The sequence below is a fragment of the Homo sapiens genome, chromosome 2, assembly GCF_000001405.40.
Source record: "Homo sapiens chromosome 2, GRCh38.p14 Primary Assembly".
In the NCBI taxonomy this organism is placed as follows: domain Eukaryota; kingdom Metazoa; phylum Chordata; class Mammalia; order Primates; family Hominidae; genus Homo; species Homo sapiens.
The window spans coordinates 136,507,191-136,529,461 of record NC_000002.12 but is presented as its reverse complement, the minus strand read 5'-3'; the positions used below and the strand labels follow the sequence as shown (position 1 = coordinate 136,529,461).

The following is a 22,271-nucleotide window of genomic DNA, read 5'->3' as shown; positions in this document are numbered from 1 at the left end:
TTGACAACAATGCAATCACCCAAAAAGAACCACACACTTTTAGATATCACTAACTTCGCTCAATCATTCAAAGCACCTCTCCAAAGCACTTTGTTGGAGTCACTCAATTGCCAAGGATTTGTGGAGTCCTACTATGTGCTGGGCATTATGCTAGGCACTAGGGATACCTCAGTGTGTCTCAGTGACAGAAAGAGACACAAGGCAATTAAATAAAAGAATTACAAATTGCAAATTGTGGAATGTGCTGTGAAGGCAATCAACAGGAGGCTGGAACAGAGCACACTAGGAGAAGGGTGGGCTGCACTAGAAGACAACGTTCAAAACAAGATCTGGAGAGCCAGAGAAGCAGCCACGGCAGCTGGGAGAAAAGGCTCCCAAGCAGCAGGAACAACCAAGAAAAGATTCCAGACATGAAACCAGTGTGAAGAAGGCTCACCAGACTGGAGAATGGGGAGTGAGGGGAAGAAGCAAGTGCCAGGATGCTTGAGAAATAGGCAGGGGCAGGGCCAGAGACTGTGGGCCTTTGTAGGCCCTTTTGGGGACCCTGGGCATTATGCTATATGGAATGGAAAATCATGATGAATTTCATCAAGGTGAGGATGTAATTCGATTGTTATCTTAAAATATTTCTCTGTCTGCACATGGTAAGTGGACTGTCAGAAGTCATGGGTAGAGACAGAAAGAACAGTTAGAGAGCTCCTGCACATTCCAAGAGAGAGATGAAGACAGCCTGGATTCGAGTGGTGGCAGAGAGGTGGAGGGAAGTTGCTGGTTCTGAGGTCCTTGGAGACTGAACCACAAGGACTTGCTAATAGATTAGCTATGGGAAGAGAACAAGAATTAGACTGCTAGGTTTCTGCTTCAGAAATTAGATGGATAGTGGAGCCAGATACTGAGATGATTTGATAAGGGAAGAAAAGGAAACGATAATTTTTATTTTGAACCGGTAGTTTCTGAAATCCAACTTGCTCTGAGACCTCTGAGCAGAAGTGTCTAGTAAAAATTAGGCTATGTGAGTCTAGGATCCAGAGAAGATTTCAGCTCAGAAAATATCTATTTTAGAGTTTGGAGAGTGAGTAAAAGGGGAGGAAAAGTCCAAGGAAAAAGCTGACATTTAGAGATCTAGTGGAGGAAAAATGCAGCAAAGAAAACCGGGAAGGAATAGCCAGTGAGGTCTGAGATGAACCAGGAGAGAGCCATGTTATGGGAGCAAGGAGAGAGACTGCCTCGAGGTTGTTCTAAGGTTGCGAAGAGGTGAAGGAAGATGCGAGAGTCAAATGATGAATAAGATAGAATTCTCGTTCCAGGAGAGTTCACAGACTGATGAGAAAGGCCGATATGATTGATGAAGGAATAAAAAGCTAGTGTAACATTTATTGAGCACTTACTATGTGACAGGAACTGAGCTAAATGATGTACGTGCATTATCTTCAAAGCCCCGGGTGAAGAAGGAATCATTATTATCCTCATTTTACAGATAATGCTCGAAGAGAATTAGAGGCTCACCAATGTTCCCAGAGCCCAGAAAGTGTGGTATGGTGCACTGGGATTTAAAGATAGGCAACAGGACCCCCAAGGTGCCCTCCTAACCACAAAGATATCTGCCTCCAGATGGGGACACACACATATGGCCCACTTTGTTGCTACTCTCCTTGGCTTTCTCCTGCTCTCTTGTGAGTCCTTTTTCAGGACCTGGGACAGCTCTTTTCCTTGCAATGACTTTGTTCAACGCAGTGTTGATACAGAGGCAGGCCCGGCATGGGGGCTGTCAGTGCACTGAGCTTTCATGTTTCCCTCACATGAACATCCCCTCACAGCTACAAAGCCAACCTTGCCAGGATACTAAACCTTTGCCCAAGATCCTCTCAGGTGCCCCAACCCTAAGACCTGGCCCATGTGTGTTTAATCTTCATTTTAAACCAGAGATCAATCAGATCAGTCTCAGGCACTGTGGGCGTGGTTTGACATGGCAGGGTCATTGGAACAGCAAAGGGGGTAATCATTGCTGATAAAATGGAGAAAATGGAAGAAAAAGCTATTTTAGCTTAAATGGTTTCCTATAAAACAGTTTTGAAGGTAAAAGGTACTATCTTCTTGTCGGTGTCAACATTTCTCTTGCTGGGTAAGTGAAATTATGTTTCTGTCAATGACTAAATCTCTCCAAGGGGGAGGTGACATTTTGTTTGGTTTCTGGAGAGGAATGATTGAGTCTGATGAAACAGTAACTATATGGATGTATAAAGGACATTTGCATAGAACACAAGTGAACATCACTAGATTTCTAAACTAGATGCTTTAGAAAGCATCCACTGCCTGCAGTGAGTGTATGCCCAGAACTCTTAAGCCTTGCAGACACTGATTTTGTTCAATTGCCTCAATGAATATTTTTCACTGAATTTTTGCCAGTTGTTTGGGTGATAGATACAGCCAGAGACTGATGCTGCTTTCTTTCACCTATTGTCCAAATTCATCTGATTTTCAGCAACCAGTATCCAAACAGATGACTTTGGCCTCTCCCCCACACCCTCTGGCAGTTCCACATTGCTGAGCCAGTCCCTGCTATGGTCCTATCACCTGTTCATCTGAGACTCGTTGTCTCACAAAACCTGGGCCTACATCACAAATCGATATTCAAGCCTCCTGACCTGAGGGTGCCAGGCATTGGGGTTTCCAGCTTCACTTCCTCTCCGTGTGACTGATAACTGGCCAACTGAGCCCACAATGGTTAATGTCCCCAGCTCTCAGTGGAAATCTACAAGACCTACAGCTGCAAAGGAACAAAAGGAATTGCTTTAAAGGGTTAAAAGCTATTCACTTCTGTGGGGCAGAGCCAAGGCCCCTTTTTCTCATAGCTGCTGAACTGAACTTTGCTGCTGTGTGGCATCTAACATGAGCAAGTACCCAGAAAACCAGAAATCAGTTGTGAGAAATGGAAGCAGAAGCACAGCTTGTAGGCCACATATAAGCATGTTTGGGTGTAGCCGAAGCGGTATTCATGAAGATATTAAGGGGCATCTGTGTTCCACCTTATGGTACAGATCTGGGTGCTGTCTTTATATCTTGTCACAGCTAATTCTTCTCAAATCAATGGTTGATCTAAGTCATAAACACCTTTTGGAAAGTTGTGCATGTGAAGCTTGGCAAGCCAAAATTACAAGTATACAAGAAGCAGAGAAAAGGTAAGAGAAAAAAGTGAAGGACCATTCAGAAGGAAGAATTGAACAATTTTCATGGGTCCCTCTAAGGAACATAAGCAAATGGGACTTTTATCCCTAAATAGTCATACAAACAAAAAGTAGGAATTAAAGTTTTTAAAAAGTTTTTCTAAATTATGCCATTACATAGGACATCACATTTTCTTCCATTTCTTCTATACTCTTCCTTCTCCCCCCTCAAATAAATCAAATTTACAATTTAAGATGTGGCTGATTATAATAGTCTACACAATTTTATAATTCATCAAGATCAAATTTACAATATAAGACATGGCTGATTATAATATTCTACACAATTTTGTAATTCATCAAGAAAAAAATGCTACTAATTAAACCCTGATACACACACCTTGGTTTCAGAGATGTTAAAAGTTTTCATCATAAAATCTATGAACTGCCACACACACACATCACATCATATCACATCCATCAATGAATTTCTCTAGTTAGACTATAAAAACTGTCATCAATAACCAATTTTCCAAGCAGGCTAAATTTGTGCCACCCCTCAAAAGGAGGAGTGGGGAGTTTGAAGTTTATTTTATGGCATATATTTGCTGCCTGAAGACAACTCAGAACACTACTGACAGATAATGGACTGCATTTCATATTTGAGAAATGTGTCTTATTTTTAAAACTGAAAGCAGAGAAACTCATTAGATTTGCTTTCACCATTGCTTCAGGATGGCAGGGCAATTTCCATCATACCTGCTTCTCTTTGTTTTCTTCATTTTCCATTCTCCTCTTTTCTTTACATTCATCTGTATTCTCTTTTTCTATTTTACTTAAAATCTCATGTAGTTGTCTCGATGGATCATTAATGTGAGCTGCCTTAAAGGTACTTAATAACTTATTGTACAGGTTTATTACGCTTGATAGGAAGTAATTTTATTGAAGCTTCTTTTGTCTCCTCATTTACAAGTAATCTTGTGTCTCCATGCTGTAACGCTGTCCCTAAGAAAGTAGTATCTTTAGCATTATGTGTGTTTGTTATAACCAGGGAGATCATAATGGGGATTCATGAGGCTGAAAAGCAGGTACAGTGACTCCATCTAAAAACAGCCCCGTGCCGAACCATAATGAAGATGACATATTTATCTGGCATAATGTTCTCCACACCTAATAGTGGCTGTTTGGTCTTCAAGACTAAGGATTTGTTTAGAACAGCCTACTCACTGCATTAACCATTTGTTAAAGCCTTAACTACATCACTCATACAAAAAGTTGATGCCAATTCATTAAAATTTAATTATTTATCAAGTTGATATTGCATTAAGTGCCTAAAATTTTCACTACCACTCTGGAAAGGAATAAGGATAGGTCAATAACTGAGACATAGCGCCCAGCCTCAAGTTTAGCAGAAAAGGGAAATATATTAGAAAGAAACATGCCCCCAACAATCCTCGGTTAAATTGGCACTGGCCCTCCTGCACTTGGCCATCTGACCAACCATTACCACCACCTTCTCAGAACCCTTGCTCCCCTCACCTGAGATAGCCAAAGCCTGTGTCTACAGCATTCTCATCTTCTAATCTTATAGACACCTTTAAAACATATTCTTAAGAAAGAAAAATAAAAGCATCGATAAGAGGCATAGCCGATTCTATAACGTATGTCCTCTGCTTCATTTCTCTGAGACCTAAAAATAAAAACTAGAACTTGTTTCAATTAGACTTTAACCATGTGTTATGCAGGTTTTCAAACAACATACAAAATAGAAAAAATAGAATATGAACCCTCAGGTGCTTATCCCCAGCTGCAATAATTATGGACAATCCTGCTATTTTGTTTTTGTTTGCGACTGAGTCTCATCCTTTCGCCCAGACTGGAGTACAGTGCCATAATGTCTGTTCACTGCAACCTCTGCCTCCTGGGCTCAAGTGATTCTCCTGCCTCAACCTCTCGAGTAGCTGAGATTACAGGTGCCCACAAGTCCCGGCTAATTTTTGTATTTTTAGTAGAGACGGGATTTCACTATGTTGGCCAGGCTGGTCTCGAACTCCTGACCTCAAGTGATCTGCCCGCCTTGGCCTCCCAAAGTGCTGGGATTACAGGTGTTAGCTACCATGCCTGTCTAGTCCTGCTATTTTTATTTCATCTCTACACCACCTTTTTTGTTATTGTGTTTCAAAGCCAATCCTAGAACTCTTATTATTTTACCTATAAATATATCAGCAAGTATCTTTAAGTAATTGGAACTTTTTTCTTTTTAACATCACTACAATATTGTTACCTACTAAAATAGAAACTTCTTACTATCATCTAATAACTTGCCTTAATCTTCCATTATCATCTCAAAAATATATTTTTATAGTTAATTGGTTCAAATCAGGATCCAAAGTCCACACATAGCATTTGTTTTGTTAGCCTTTTAAGTCTCTATTTATCCAAAACGGATTTCTCTCCCATTCTTCCCTATGCCCTTTATTATTTGAATAGTCATTTATTCAGTGGCTGAATGCATCCTTGGAGTGCCATCCAATATGCTTCCCTTTCCTCTGCATCCCATATAACTGGTAGTTGGATCTAGAAACTTAACTATATCTAGGTTCAGTATTTTTAGCCACAAGATGACATAGCTAATGCTGTGACTTCCTATTGAATCACATCAGAAGGCATAGAATGTCTGACTGTCTAACTTTTAGAGATAATCAGTGATAGGTTCAGATGATGCCAGCCTAGTCCATTCATTAAAAATCTCTCACATGACCTTTCACCCAGTGTTTTTGGTGGCCACTGACAATCATTGCCTATAGCTACTGTTTCATTAGGGATATTATTTTGATTAATCACTCCTCTCATGTTACAAGTATACCACAGAGTGACACAATTTACCCTCAAATTGGTTTCACTAAGTCAGAAAAAAAAGCTAACGTTCAAAACATTTTTAAAAGCACAAGTAACACTTCAGAAAGTTATTCCAAAAAAATAAAAGTGGCAGCTTTCAACCTATAGCTTCCCCACCTCCTTTAAGAATAAGAAAACTGTTATAATAATACCTAAAAATTTCACACACTCCTACTTGATAGTACTTGTCCTTTTAATATCTATTGATTAGAAAAATGTAAATGATGAAAAGTTTCTATAAATTCAGTGACCCTCTAAATAGCTTTATATTATGTAAATCATAACAGTACTCTACACACACTTGAGATAGAGCTAAGCATGTATCAGGGATAAAAGAAAATGTTTTAAATTATATGGCATTCAATCTTTCCTCCTTCTCTCTGACATCCCCAAACCACGGCCCCTCCAGAGAGCAAGGACTCTAACCTACTGGTCCAGGCCTGTGCTCTCCTCTGGCAAATTCCTAGTCAGGACTAAGCAGCGGGCGGCAGAGCTGACTCAGTCCAAAGAAGTGAGAGAGGCTGAGTTGATGCACACAATAATAAGCCGGTCAGCAGAGGCTGGTGGAGAGAGATCATCTCCAGGCAAGGTGTCAGAGAAAGCCTGTGGGAATTTACAGAGAGCGAAGAGAAAGATTTTCCGACCAAATATGCTTGCCACCCACCCCACATCTACCCTTCGGCATTTTCAAAAGAGACTGCCAAGTCCTGAAATTCCTATCCCCGTTATTCTGGATGCTAGGATTTTACATGACTTATACACATAGGTCTAGCATAGTGTTGATTTGACCTATAATGTTTCCTTACAGATCTCCTACAGCAACTCTAGGCAGCCTCCTTTCCTTCTCCCACCCCACTGGGATCTACAGTCTAGCAACTGCTCACTATGGTTATCTGGTACTTTTGGTTCCTAACACCTCACCTAGAGGCACCATCATCATCACTGTCCCACAATAACATTGCATATTCTCCATTAAGGAACTCACCTACATAAATCCAGAAGGTGAACAAGTATGTGCCCCCATGCACGGGTACCTTTTACAGTAGAGTTTGCTCCCGATGACCAACCAGACAGCCCAGGGCACCATCAGTCCTAGTGGCCATCAAGGTAAGGAAACCCACAGGCCTGCACCCTGAAGCAATGCAAGGAGAAGCACAGTGAGAAGGGAGGAGAGACGTCATTTTACCCAAACACCGGAGGAGTAATAAGGGGCAAGTCCTCCTGCCTCTCCACTTCTAATCACATAAAGCTGCCAGCTGGAGAATTACTGTCCCACTAAGGCGAAACAAAAACAAAAACAAAACACAACAAAACAAAAAAACATAGTGCAACTGCCTGAGTAGGCTAGTGCTCACAGATATTAGGATGATTGGGCCAGAGACCTAAACTTTGACGTTTGGAGCATGCATCCTTAGAGACCCCAAACGCAACCCTCTTTCCTTGTCAACAGGCTGGTTGATATTTCTGCTGTTATTCTTCACTCGGCTGAAGACGTTTTATTCAAGAATTCATGAAGTGAAAGTTTCAAAATTTTGAAGGAAGGAAGCAATTTGTTGCATGCAGAGCTGGCCTTACAGAGATGCTGAGAAGATGGGGTGCTGCTTCAACCTATCAATCAAGAAGAATTTGCAAAACATCTTGGATGAGTCAGTTCCCTGGAAACAGCTCAGAGGAGGGGTGCAGACAGTCGGCCTGAGGAGAATGGTGAGGCTGTCAGCCACACAGGGCCCAATCCTTTACTTCAATTTTTCTTATAGAACTCTTTTCCAAATATTCAGAAATCAGAAGGGACAGCTTTCAAAGGCTAAGAAAACTCCCCTCTTCAAGTCCCTGGCCCAAAATTCCTCTTAACCATTCTTTTAGAATTGCTCAGCAGGAACTTACTCCTGAAATGCAAATCAAAGGGAAAAAAAAAAAAATATCGTGTTGACACTGATTCCAGCCTTGAGAAATAAATCTTGACAAGAATATCCACATAGCATGTCTCCTAAAGAACCACTGTGTCTGCCCCTCTCCTCCCTCCAGTGGAACTGAACAGTAATGAAGTCAGGTTCAACATTCATTCATTCAACAGACATTTATTGAACACCATTGTGTGCTAAGGGGTACAGAGAGGAATGGGACAGAGTGCCAATCCACAATTTCCTGATGTAACTAGGGAGACAGATAACTATGCCACTAACCTCGGCGTCACATGGTGGAATGAGGCTATAGGGAGTGAGTCTATCTTGAGATGGGTACAACATACTAATTCTTCAGTGGATGCTGAGAGAAAGCTATGCAAGGGGTGTGGCTTTGGAGTCACGCTTTTTCTCTTGTTTTTTTGAAGCTGCAGGCTATGGCCCTGAGATAAGAAGAGGCAAGGTTCCACTTAACCCCAACCCAAGAAATTTCATTTCTCAGACTTCTGAGTTTTCTGTGGCCAAAGCTCTCACCCAAGAATGGCAGTCACCTGAGGAGAACAATTTCTGTAGAAAAAGGAGAGAACTGATCTAAAGCTGAGAACTCCTCCCCCCGGAGGGGGTGGTTGTACAGGAAGAAAGAAAAGGTAAATTTTAACAACTACCTACTCCAGATGGGCAAGGGCCAGCAAAAATGAGGGCAAGTCCAGGCCCTATTTTTTTCATTAAAATTTTTTTGAGATAACTATAGATTCACATTCAGTTGTAAGAAATAATACAGAAAGATCCCTTGTATACTTTTCTCAGTTTCCCCCAATGGTAACATTTTGCAAAACTCTACTGTACTATCACAACCAGGATATAGACATTCATACAATGTACCAATCTTTTTCAGATTTCCCAGTTCATTTGTACTCATTTGTATGCAGATTAAGTTCTATACAATTTTACCACCTGTGTAGGTTCACATGTCCACAATCATAGTAATTAACAGTTCAGTTCCAACACCAAGAATCCCTGGCATTGCCCTTTTATGATCTCACCCATCTCCCTCTCACCACCCCTTCCACTTTGTCGCTAACCTCTGGCAACCACTAAACCTGTCTACCATTTCTAACATTTGTCATTTCTAAATGTTGTATAAGTGGAGTAATAGAGTAACTTCTCAGGATTGGCTGTGTTTTCTCAGAAGACTTTCCTAGCTATTTGTCCAAGTTGCTGTGTATATCAATAGTTTATTGGTGTATTGATAGTTCTTTTTTATTGCTGAGCAGTATTCTATGCTACGGATGTGTCATAGTTTAACTCCTTACTATTGAAGGGCATCTGTTTCCAGTTTCAACTATCATGAATAAGGCTGCTATAAACATATTCATGTACAGGTTTTTAAATGCCCAGGGATATGGAATTTAGAGACCACATTCTCAGACAGGCCGTATTTTTAAATGGTCACTAAGCATTGAACTGACTCCACACAGATGAGCTGTGAATGCACTCCCATCCCTCAGGTGCTGAGCTATCTGTCAAGATGGCTTCACAGATCCATCCCCACGTGGCCTCCGGTCAGCACTACAACTGCCTTGGGAGCCCCTCAGAAGAACTAGCAGGAAGGAACACCAGGTATCCCACATTGCTTAGTGGAATTTGAAGCTATCCCAAGTCCATGTTTTCCCTCAGCTTTTCCAACCATAATGTGCACAAGAAAGCACTTGCGGAGTTGAGTAAATGCAGGTTCCTGGGCCCCACCCCAGAAACACTGATTTAGTCAGTCCAGAGTGAGCCTAGGAACTTGCATTTATGACAAACAAAGCAGACTCCCTTTCTGTTATTCACACTTTGGTATAACTCCCAGATGGGACCTGTGGCTCGCTTCTAACCAATAGAATATGGCAAAGGTGATAGAGTATCCCTCCTGTGATTAGGTTATGGTATGTAAGACTCCATTTACTAGAAGACCCTTGCTCAAGAGGTCCTCCTTGCTGGTTTGATGAACTAAAAGGCCATGCTGGAAAAGCCCATGTGTCAGGAACTACAGGTGGCCTCTAGGAACTGCAGGCAGTCTTTGGTAGCTGAGGCAGCCTCCCGCATTCAGCTAGCAAAAAGTCATGACCCTCACTGGACAATCCCAAGGATGCGAATTCTGTCAGCAACCTGAGAGAACTTGGAAGTGGATCTTTCCACAGCCTAACGATTAGAAGAGAATGCAGGCCAGGCAGCCTCTCATCAGTCACAGCCTTGTAAGGAACTAAGCAGAGGACCCCCCTGAGCTGCGCCCAGGCTCCTCATCCACGAACACTGCAATAACAGATGTGTGTTGTTTAAAGCTGCTAAGTTTGTGGAAATTTATTACACAGCAACATGAAATAAAGACACCAGGTGACTCAAATTTCCACAGCAACAGGTAATTAACCCTCTAGGTGACAGGCAGATGAGCAGACCTTACCTTAGACACCTTGAGAACCACTGACCTAAATCAAGGTGAGTATGAGCCTCAAGTGGCCTCCAGGACCAACCTGCCCTGAACCAAACCTTAGAAGGTTTTTGACATTAAAGACCTATTTGTCCTTTAGGGGGTCCTTCAGTTCTTCAGGAGTATTTTCGAATTTGAAATAACAACCGTCTCATGTCCTCCAGCCTGCCATCTTACTCTCCTCCTCAGAGGTCTCCCAGGGCAATAAATTTGGAGAACAAACAACAGATAATTTGTAGTTGTTTGTGCCCTTTTACCACTCTTTGAGATAGTGGGGAGTTCTGGGAAAATCTTTGGGGCCTTAAATGCCTCAGCTTAGTCTTCTAATATCTGATTGATCACAGAATAAGCTTTTAAATGACAAAAAAACTGGCACGTACATATACAGTTATGTGTACATAAACAAAAAATACGTATTTGTTTTGGTGTCTGTCTCCCCCTACACACACACACACACACACACACACACACACACACACACACACACAGAGGATGGCAAGCACCGTAACACAAGGGCAGTGGTTTTTTCTTTGGTGTTCACTGCTGTACTAGAGCCTAGAACATTGCTTGACTCATATTTGTAGAAGGAAAGGAAAAAAGGGAGGAAGGGAGGAAGGGAGGGAGGGAGGGAAGAAAGGAAGAAAGAGAAGAAAGGAAGGAAGAGAAGAAAGGAATAGAAAAGAGAGGGAAGATAATGAGATACTGTGATGGTCTCCCATTCACACCATTCCCTCAGGACCCAGCTGATGACAGAGCTAATCAATGAATTTGTACTCAGACATTCATGGGTGATCATGGTTTCACACCTTTACACCTCAAAGAAGTAACCAGTAGAAAGATTCCAGGGCTGCAATCTGGTGATTTAATCAGGGAAGTGTTTGAAAACAAAACACATTCCAAAGGTAGTTGTCCATTCCATCCCCTTTCAGGAATAGCAGCCTTCTTAACTGCATATTTATCTGTCATAAAATACCCCCGATGCCTTCAACTGCTGGTAATTTGCAGCCAATTGAAGACAGCAGGCATATTTTTAGAAACTCTTGTGGTGACATACCACTGTTCATCTATGAGACTCCTTCTTATGATAATCCACTTCCTGTCAAACAGTGCAGCCACACACCAGGATGGCCCATTGGGGAAGGGTCTCATTAGTGCACAATAGCCTTAATGGGCCAATCTTTAAACAGACTGCCCAGTATGGAAGCTGATTAATAGAACCAAGTCTGAGAGGGAAGTTTTTCTTTAACTCTCCATTTCCTTTTTTGGCTGAAGACAAATCTGTGATGTGATTTTTAACGTGGCTTTTTGCAGCTCCAGATTTCTTTAGCAGTTAAACCAGTTTCGTAGCAATATTTTTCCTCCTTCATCACCACTTCCAAAGCACTGAGGATCTAATTCATTCAAATCTATCTGCAGACCTATCTGATGAGCTTCCTGCACTATTTATCCTCGAGTAAATTAGGAAAACCATTACCAGCTTGCCTCGCGTTTCTTGGCAAGTCTAACCATTGAGCACACGGATGTCATGTTTAATCAGATAATTTACACAGAATTGGCATTTCTAATTCATACTTCACATTAAGAAAAGGAGGAAGAGAGAAAAATTTCTTAAGTTTCTGGTTTTTAATTTGGAACCCGGTTTGCCACCATCAGCTCTCTTCACTTTGGGAGGGGGAAAGAATAAAGGGAAGATGCTGGAACACACACAAACCCAGCTCTGCCTGGCATGCGGTGCCCATGTGTGCACATGCGTGGGAGAAGAGTGAAGAGTCTGTCTCGCACTGTACACCTTCCCTGCAGCATGCTGCTCCACCGAGCTCCCACAAAAGGCCCTAGGTTCCAAATGAAGAGATGAGACAGCAGTGTTAAGGTTGCCTGTCTGTCATCTAGATTTTGGAGTATGCTCTCTGACTCCCTGGCTCTGTGTATTAACCAACAAATAATAAAGCTCATTATGTTTAAGGGACTGAACAAGGTTGTATTAGAGTTCTCCAGGGAAACAGAACCAATAGGATACACTTATATATGTGTGTGTGTATATTTATAAATATGATATACTTATAAATCTCATATATGTCATATATATGTAGAAAGAGAGAAAAATTTACTATAAAGAATTGGCCCACATAATTATAAAGACTGACAACTGCCAAGATCTGCAGGGTGAGTCAGCAAGCTGGAGACCCCAGCGAGTCAATGGTTTATATCCTAGTCCAAAGGCCAGTACTCCAGGCCCAGGAAGAGATGTTTTGGTTTGAGTCCAAAGGCAGGAAAAAAGCCGACATCCCAGTTTGAAGGTTGTCAAACAGGAAGAATTCTTTGACATGGTGCAGGGTCATTCTTTTTGTTCTATTCAGGCCTTCAACTGATGGAGGAGGCCACCACATTAGGGACGGCAATCTGCTTTACTCAATTGACTGATTTAAATGTTAATCATCCAAACAGCCTCACAGATACACAGAAAATAATATTTAACTAAATGTCTAGGAATCCCATAACCCAGCCAAATTGGCATATAAAATGAACCACCACAGAGATGAATGTGGAGATTTAGAAGGCCACCAGGTGGGGAGAAGGGAGCCACCATGTGTCATACTCAGTACTAGGCACTGACACACATAATCTCCTTCAATTCTCCCAAGATAAAGCATAATCTCTCCATTTTGCCCAGGCAGAAACTGAGGCTCAGAGGAGTCAAGTAATTTGCCCAGGGTCACACAGCTCATTGTGGACCCAGGTCAATCTGAGCCCAAAGCCTATCTTCTCTCTGCTCTATCACAAATTTACCCCTGGTCCACTGATAATTAACTACAGCTTTCTCCCCACATTTTCATTCTTTATGCTTCCTCCTCTATTCACAAATGCTCAAGGCTTTTCTCCCTCTTTTTTTAATACCACAGAATTAAAGCTACCCTCTTCCCAGATAATTTCCAAAAGATTTTATATTTTACATTACTGTTAAGTTCATCAATCAAGTTGGACAGATTTGTAAGGAAAGGGATGACTTATCAGCATTTAACATAATCCCCCCACTCAGTATAGCTTCGGTATCAAATGTAAGATATGAATCTTCACACCAGATGCTGAGAAACAAGTACAGTAAGTTCTCACTGACCATCATATGTAGGTTCTTGGAAACTGCAACTTTAAGTGAAACAATGTTTAAAGAAACCAATTTTCCCATAGGCTAATTAATATTAAACAAGAGTTAAGTTCCTACAGCATATTTCTGGTCACAAAAACACCACCCAACTTCCAAAGACCAAAACACTTCTCATATTAAACAATGAAATAAATGGGAACTATATATACTTAAAGATAGATTAATAAAAACAGGTAAGATAATTATTGACCCATTTATTCCAGTTCAGAGTTATGGATGGTTGGAGCCTATCCCAGCAGCTCAGGATGTCAGGCAGAAACCAGCCCTGGGCAGGACAGTGTTCCATCCCAAGACGCACTCACACACACCCACACTCAATCATGCCAGTATCATGTAGCTTGGGGATGCACAGCTTTGCGATGTGAGAGGAAACTGGAGTCCCCAGAGAAAACCCATGCAGACATGGGGAAAGCATGCCAACTCCACACAGACAGTGACTCCGCCTAGAATTGATCTTTTTTCTCCTCAATGTTATAACAAAATGACATTGAACCAAACGACATTATTTAAGGACTTGTTGTATGTGGCCCCTAAGAACAGATTTTAGTGACACAAACTCTTAAGAAAATAATCTTTATTTCTTCAATAGGGGTCATTCCTTGAAATTGGACAGATAAATAAATGAACTAACAAATTAATAAGTAAATAAATGAGGCTTCATTGTAATGATGACCATATAGAAAGCTTGATGTGTTCTTTCTTTGCTATTACAGATCAAACTCTCCAGTGCTTTGAGGTGTCTTTTGCTCTCCTATGCATTAGCCCATAAGAGCAATGACATTTGTTGATTACACCCATTTGGTTTTTAGAGGCCAAGGTGGATTTGTATTCACCTTTCCTATTAGCCTAGCAATACCTCTCTGTATTTTTTGCAGTAGATTTTCTGAGCAGCAATAGGTTCTAATCAATCTTCCTGGCTTCATTTCTCAGAATCTCACCATCTCCTCAAGGAACATTTCAAACCTGATTTATCATCATTACCAGACCCTAAATATTCACCAGATTCTATATTATTTATTACACCTAGTTAATTTCCCTGTTCTGGCCTTATGGGTCGAATCACAAAGCATCTGAAAGATTATCCCCGTAATATGTCATGAAGACTCCACTATAATGCAGAGTCACATTTAGAAAGAAGTATTTCACCCCCCACAGAATAGCTCTGAACAGAAGCTGAGCCCCTCCACTTCTCTGAAAGACTCCGCTCCCCCTGTCTGGACACTGGCTCCCGTGCAGTCCCTGAACTACACGTGTGCAGTCACAGGTGGCAGAAACTTCACCCACCTCCCTCCAGCTGGAAAAACCCTCATCTCTGCTACTGTATGCAAGAGCATGGGAAGATGCTGAGTAGGAGAAAGTGATTCCAGGCTCTGTCCTGTGTGGGGAGGAAGTGTTCTAAGGTTATACTTGAGGTGAGAGGTGGACACAGTCACAGAGCTACCTTTCTGAGACAAAAAGACTCCCCCAGTTTGACTCGTCCTAGAGAACAAAGATCCACCAGTGGTGACCCTCAGAAGGGGGCATGTGCAGCCCAGCTTCCCTCATGCCTCCCAACAGGCTAGCTGTGAATCTGCCATCCACACTGCCCAGCTTCCTCCCCTTTCCCCCAAGTGAGGGAAATTTGGCTCCATCAGAAATAACCCAAAGTTGTGTTCCCCCATGGCATGAAGTAATGGTGGAAGGGATTTTGTTTGAATTCTCATTTAGGAAACTTTCTGTAGCTCACCCAAGGTTCTGGGTTCTAAGACCTTTCCAAGTCCTGACTGTCCCCAGGAAAGTGCTCTTGGGCTTGTGTGAGGGAAATAGGAGCAGGCCTGTCCACATCTAAAGCCCCAAGAGACCAAAGATGTATTCTGTATTGCCCCAGTTGACAGAATTAGGATCAATAAGAGAAGTTGTTGGCCAAGGGGTTTCTTCCCAATGCAAGAAAGAGCTTCCTGCAGCAGAGTCCATTCCTGCAGCAGAAAAGTCCATCCTGTGGAACAGCTACCAGAGGTTAAACAACAAATGTCAGGGATGGTGTGAGAGGTGTCTGAGAGACAAATCAGACACCTGCTAAGACCTCTTCCAACTCTAAGATGGTGCGACTTCAAGGAGACATTCGCCTTAAACTCACAGAGCCACAGCATTCTGTACCTAAAACATATTTCTCAGTTCATCTTGTCTAGAGGTTGCAAATTAGCAACCCCAAGCTGAATTCAGCCCAGGAAAAAAATGTCATTTTGTTCACAGAGTGTTGGTCTACATAGAGTTTATTGTTTCACCCAATATTTAACAACTAATACATTTCACATAAAAATCTGGATTTTCTGGCTTCTCTTTAAAAGAAAAATCAGATGTGGCCACATAAGGGTTGTGTTCAGTTTCAGTGGAATTCCCCCTATGAATGAGCTGTGCTCTGCCACAGACCCCACCATTCCCTATAGCCCTTAGTCTCATATTAAAGCTGGGGTTTTGTTGCCTGTTTCATTGTTGTGTTTCCTTCCCAGGCCTTTTTATTCACATGTATTTTCCATATGGTCCCTGTGGGCATGTATGTTTGCCACTGCTGGTCTAGTGAAAACACTAAGACTGGGCTAAAGCCCAGAAAAGCTATGTGACTTGTTCAAGATCACATGGCTAACCAGTGCAAAACAAGGAACAGAACCCAGATTTCCATGTATTTCAGCACTCCTCCCACTTGGCCACACTGCCAGCCTTGAGGATACTTATTTCTCCTGACTGATTTCACTGTTTACATTCAGATTGTGCAAACTGCTCCTCTGTGTGTTCATTTAATGTATCTCAGAGACAAGGGTATAAAGCTCCACGACACAGCTGGACAAAGATTTTTTTGGATATGACCACAAAAGCACAGGCAACAAAAGCAAAAATAGACAAATGGAATTACATCAAACTAAAAACCTTCTACACAGCAAAGGAAATAATCAACAGAGAGAAGAGACAACCTACAGAATGGGAGAGAATATTTGCAAACCACCCATCTGATAAGGGAATAATAATCAAAATATATAAAGGCACTCAAACAACTCAACAGTAAGAAAACAAATAACCTGATTTTAAAATGGGCAAAGGACCTGAGTAGACATTTCTGAAAAGAAGATATACAAGTGGTCAATAGGTATACGAAAAAATGTTTAATATCACTAATCACCAGGAAAATGCAAATTAAAACCATAATGAACTATTACCTCACACCTGTTAGAATGGCTATTGTTAAAAAGACAAAAGATAACAAGTGTTGGGAAGTATGTAGGGAGGAGGGAACATTTATATGCTGATGCCATTAGTGGGAATGTAAATTAATACAGCCATTATGGAAAATGGTATGAAGATTTCTCAGAATAATTAAAAATAGAACTACCATATGATCCAGCAAGCCCACTAGTGGGTATATATCCTAAGGATATGACATCAGTATGTTAAAGAGATATCTGTATTCCCATGTTTATTGTAGCACTATTCACATTAGCCAAGCTATGGAACCAACCAGTGTCCATCAATGGACAAATAGACACTGGTTGGACAAAGACAAAGACGATGTGGTATATATACACAATAAGATACTATTCAGCCTTTAAAAACAAAGGAAATTCTGTCATTTGGAATAGTACTGCATGATATCACTTACGTGGAATATAAAAGAGTTAAACTCAAGGAAACAGTAAAGTGGAGGTTACCAGAGGCTGGGGGTTGGGAGGATTGGAGAGATGTTGGTCAAAGACACAAAATTTTGTTATACAAGACAAATAAATTCAAGAGATCTATCATACATCATGACTACGGTTAATAACAATATGTTGTGTATGTACTTGAAAATTGCTAAGAGAGTACATAAGTGTTCTCAACACAAAAAATAAACACGTGAAGTAATGCATATATTAAATAGTTTAATTTAGCCTTTCCATGATGTATACATATATATCAAAACAGCACGTTGTACATCATAAACACATAAATTATACTTGTCAATTGAAAAATAAAAATATATATCTTAAAGATCAAATTTTGACATTTCCCCTTCAAAAATAATTATAATATCAAAAAAAAAAATCCTCACCTTTCCAGGTGACTTCCCAAACAATAGCACTCAAAGACCAGTCTTTTGTGTGTCCAACGAAAGACTAACTTCATGAACACATAAGATTTCAGTCTTCCTTGCAAAATCAGGAATAGGCCAAAACCCTATTATTTCAGACTTGGCATTGATAGTCCAAATCATTAGTGCAAACAAGATTTCTGGGGAAAGGTTAAAGTAGTTGGCAGAACACACTAGTATTAAGCCACCATAAACACTTTGAAAGCAAAGAATTAAATGCAAATAATTGATAAGCTCATAATTAATCAGTCTTATCTATAAATATTAGGGGTTTTACAAGATATCCCTCTATAATCTAATTTGGGTTACTGCCTGCATTTGAAAGTGATGCTGCACATCTCTTAAAATCTTCTGTAATCAGACCTTCCACTGGCTTAAGCTGCCTATGCTCCCAATTAGGATTTGTTAGGACTGAGTAAACCAAAGGAAAGACAGGATAGGGACTTCTTAAAACTTTTATTTGGTGTGGGAGATCACTCTAGGCAAGGCCTAGGTTTACTTGCTTTGCCTACGTGTTTTGCCCTGGCCATCAACGGAGATGTAACTTGAATTAACTTGCTATGACATCCCTATACATAGGAGGGAGTTGGTGTTGAGTAGGTCAGGTGAAATGTAGGCTCACCTTTCAGATGAGACTAACTTAAAGGGCAAGTTACAAATGAAGATTGCCTAATCACTGTGGCCATAGACACTGAGCTGTCAGACTAGAATATCTTAGCTGTCCATTAAGCCTAACACTCAGGTAGACACATAAAAGACTTAGCAGGCACTGTTGGATGCCTATCCAGGAACCATTCTTCCTTCTTCCTCCTTATGAAAACCCACATTGTGGTTAAATATTCAGGATTGATAATCAGCTAATTCACAACAGACTTACTGGTTGTTTCAGGCTAGTGTTCATTCTGATTGGTCATGTCCATACTGTACTAGATGTGACATATTTAGAATTTTGCTTCTCTTCACACTAGTCTATGTACCAGTACTGACTACAGAAATGAGTCCTAATTAGCATCAGCCTATCACAATAATCCTATCCTTTTTTCCCCTGATTGGTTTAGGAACTCTGGCTTGAGCCAGTTAGTACAGAGCACTCCCCTTGTTTATTGCTATTGGTCCAGGATTGGACTTACAAACAAACTGGCCCAATCAGACTGAAGAAAAGGAATATTTGGTCCATGAGTGAGGGAGAGATTTTTCTTTCACTCACATAGACTGAAGCAACCTCTTGTCCCAGCTGTTTGCTAATAGCAGTCCTCTTGAAATCCTGAGGGCAGCCCCCTTTAGGACAAAGCCCACATTTGCATAAGGCCTATGGGGGAATTCAAAGACTGGCAGAGAAACAAAGCCATAGTCCAGGGGATTAAGGTACTGTGCCTGGAAGCTTCCCTAACTCCTTTCTTCCATTACAAGGAAAAGTAAATTTCCTCATTGTTTAAACTACTTTAAGTGGGATTTCTGTTCCTTACAGTCAAACACATCTTTTATTTGCACAAGCCAATATATTCAAAGTAGGTTAGAGGGGCTTCCTGGGTGAAGCCAGTGTCTTAACCCAGCCCCATTCAGAATTTTTAATCAGAGAAGATAGAGCAATTGTTTTGGAGCTGAAAAGAAAGCTCAAAGTTTTTAAAGTACCCGCACACTTGTAATTGGGTGAGGGAGGGAAGTTAGCCAAATGAGGAAAACAGGGCTCTGGAATGAGACAGCCTTGGGTCCTTCTCAGCTCTACCCCTTAATAATTCTGTGACCACACAAAAGTGTCAATATCTGTAAATTACGGGATGAATACCATATCTTACAGCATTGTTCTGAGAATTCAATGAAGTGCAATATGCAAAAGAAGCGCAGTATGCAAAATATCTAGTGCACAAAATAGAAGCCCAATAAATTAAAGACAATTTTCCTTTTCCTTTTCCAACCTAATCTTTCAAGTCTTTCCAGATTCCCTGACCTAAGTTCTAGAGACTTTAATTGCTCCAGCTTCTGTTTCACCCCTTTCCTTTCCTTTTCTTCCTTCCAATTTCACGTTTGTAACTGTCTATCCCAGTTATGTTTTGTGTGGTTAGGTGGATGTTTTACATTGATTCCATTTACTGGTATTTCCCATGTGGCAGGTACTATCGTGACATTTAATCCTCACAACTACCATCACCCACTGAAGAACGTGATATACTCATTTTACAGTTGGTGAAATGAGGCTCAGAGAAGGGAAGTAAACTCGTCTATGATTTTTTTAAAAAGATGAGCTATGGAGCATGAAATTCCAGGCCAATATAACTCCAAAGACTATGGTCTTAGCTACTTCATTATGCTAACCACCCATTAAAATCTGTCTACTTTCACCTGTGTCCAGCTTTATATTCTGCATGTGTTGCCTCCAATGCCTGCCTCCATCATCCCCATGCCTCAACATGCACATAGGATCTCCTTTCTAAGGTCCCATTTTATATATATATATACACGCACACACACACATACACATAACATGCACATAGGAGATATATATATATAATACATATATCTCTCCTGTGATTGTATGTGTGCGTGTGTGTGTATCTGTATGTCTCTTCCTGTGAGCTGACAGTTCTTGAAAAAATGGAGCCCTTGTTTTCTAAAGGAGGGTAGGTAATGCAAGAACTGGATAATCACCTTTTCTAAGCATCACTGACAACACACAATTTGGTTGCTGTTGTTCAAGCCTTCTTGAGGCCTTGGATATACAAAGAGCTGCAAGACATTGTTCTTGCCCTCAAGAGACCCAAAACTAGGTGCAAAAATATAATGTCTGCAGAGAAAGCAATATGACATGGCATATCTTTTTTTCCCAGAGAGACATGCCAAACACAAATGCCACAGGAAGTCAAAGAAAGGCCGTCAAGAGCTGGAACGGGATGAACAGAGGTGGAGCAGGCACTGCAGACCCATGGGGATGAAGCAGGACCTTAGAATCTGGATCCTATTTGCATGTTGTGGGGTGGGGACAATGGAGGCAGGCATTGGAGGCAACACTCGAAGAATGTAAAGCTGGACACTGGTGGGAGTAGTAAGGACAGATTTTAATCAGTAATATATTATTCCAATAGGAAAAAGTACAGCATGAATTGAACACAACTTCAATTTGTACAGAGGTGACTGGGAGTTTTGAAGGGAGCAGGAAGGAATAGGGAGGAGTTCGAGCAGGGACTCAACAGAGTCAGGGAAGTTAAAAATTACAAAAAGGGGGAAGGGGAGCTAAGTCCATGTGAAACCCATCTGGGTGTGCTAACTGGCACTACCAGAATTAGTCTCCTAGCCTCCCACAGAGGCTGGGAGACAGGGGCCATATCTTTGGGTGTCAGCTAGAACAAATATAAATTCTTTTGGCAGCCCTGAGTTTTTTAAAGGGGAATAGGGTCATCTTAGGGATGCAGCCTTGACCTGTCAGAAACTCTTAGTGTCTGTCAAGTCTTTATAGACAAAGATTGAGGCCGGGTTGAGAAGGAGGCTCAGAGGAGCCTGGCTAGAGTTCGATCAAAGAGGGAGTCTTCTCAGTGGGCCGCTCTAGCCAGCTGGCTAGCATTGACACAGTGAGCAACAAGGAAAAGCAGGAGGTTGAATTGATAACAAGAGGTAGAACCCCAGACTAGTGATTTTGAACTCTCTCTTAGAGGAAAAGTAAGAAACATTCCCAATTTGCACAGGACTGAGGAGTTTCCTAGGGAGTGAGACACGCAGCACTAAAACAAGGAAAGCCCAGACAAAGAGGGACCAGGTGACCACCACTCCACTTGGATCAACTCACACCTGGGAAAGGTAACCGAGCAGGAAGGCAGTGTGTGTAAGAACTGATGGTTTCAGGTGATTCCTCCAGCTATGAGGCACTAAAAGCTACCAGCTTCATTTGCTGGCCATTTGGCCAGTCAGGTCACATGATACACCACTGTGCCTTGGTGCTGGTTCTGGGCACTGTGGTGGATGTTCCAAAGTCTCTGAGCTGAGATGGGCTCACCTCCTTTGCTTTGGAACCCCAAACATACAACATTGTGTTACATGAATTGTTCCAGAACGTAAGCCCCGCTTGCTGCTAGAGCTGCATTTACAGATTTAGGAATTTGATTCCTAAGGCAGAAGGATGGGGTTGGAATTCCATTTCAACCAGCCACTGGTCGTGTGACTCTGTGCCTGGTACCTAACTACTTTAAACCACAGTCTCCTCATCTGCCAAATAGAGATTAACACACCATCTAGCTCACATGGTTACTAGAAGAATTAGGTGAGATTATACATGAGAACTGCTTAATAGGGTCCCCAGAATGTGTTAAACAGTCAGTAACTGCGATTATAATTGTAGGGGTGGCCAGGCATGGTGGCTTACACCTGTAATCCCAGCACTTTGGGAGGCTGAGGCGGGCGAATCACCTGAGGTCAGGAGTTCAAGACCAGCCTGGCCAACATGGTGAAACCCCATCTCTACTAAAAATACAAAAATTAGCCGGGCATGGTGGCGGGTGCCTGTAATTCCAGCTACCTGGGAGGCAGAGGCAGGAGAATTGCTTGAACCCAGGAGGTGGAGGTTGCAGTGAGCCGAGATCACGCCACT

At 41.5% G+C, this 22,271-nt stretch overlaps 3 annotated features.

The window, feature by feature from the left end:
- Positions 1,596-1,796: a silencer, noted in NCBI's record as "peak3883 fragment used in MPRA reporter construct". NCBI's record gives its function as "represses an SCP1 promoter by STARR-seq MPRAs in K562 erythroleukemia cells {active_cell/tissue: K562}" and the evidence as "EXISTENCE:reporter gene assay evidence [ECO:0000049][PMID:32103011]".
- Positions 11,336-11,842: an enhancer, noted in NCBI's record as "NANOG hESC enhancer chr2:137275190-137275696 (GRCh37/hg19 assembly coordinates)". NCBI's record gives its function as "activates a minimal SCP1, AML or CMV promoter by ChIP-STARR-seq in primed H9 embryonic stem cells {active_cell/tissue: H9 hESC(primed)}" and the evidence as "EXISTENCE:reporter gene assay evidence [ECO:0000049][PMID:30033119]".
- Positions 18,657-19,481: an enhancer, noted in NCBI's record as "OCT4-NANOG hESC enhancer chr2:137267551-137268375 (GRCh37/hg19 assembly coordinates)". NCBI's record gives its function as "activates a minimal SCP1, AML or CMV promoter by ChIP-STARR-seq in naive H9 embryonic stem cells {active_cell/tissue: H9 hESC(naive)}" and the evidence as "EXISTENCE:reporter gene assay evidence [ECO:0000049][PMID:30033119]".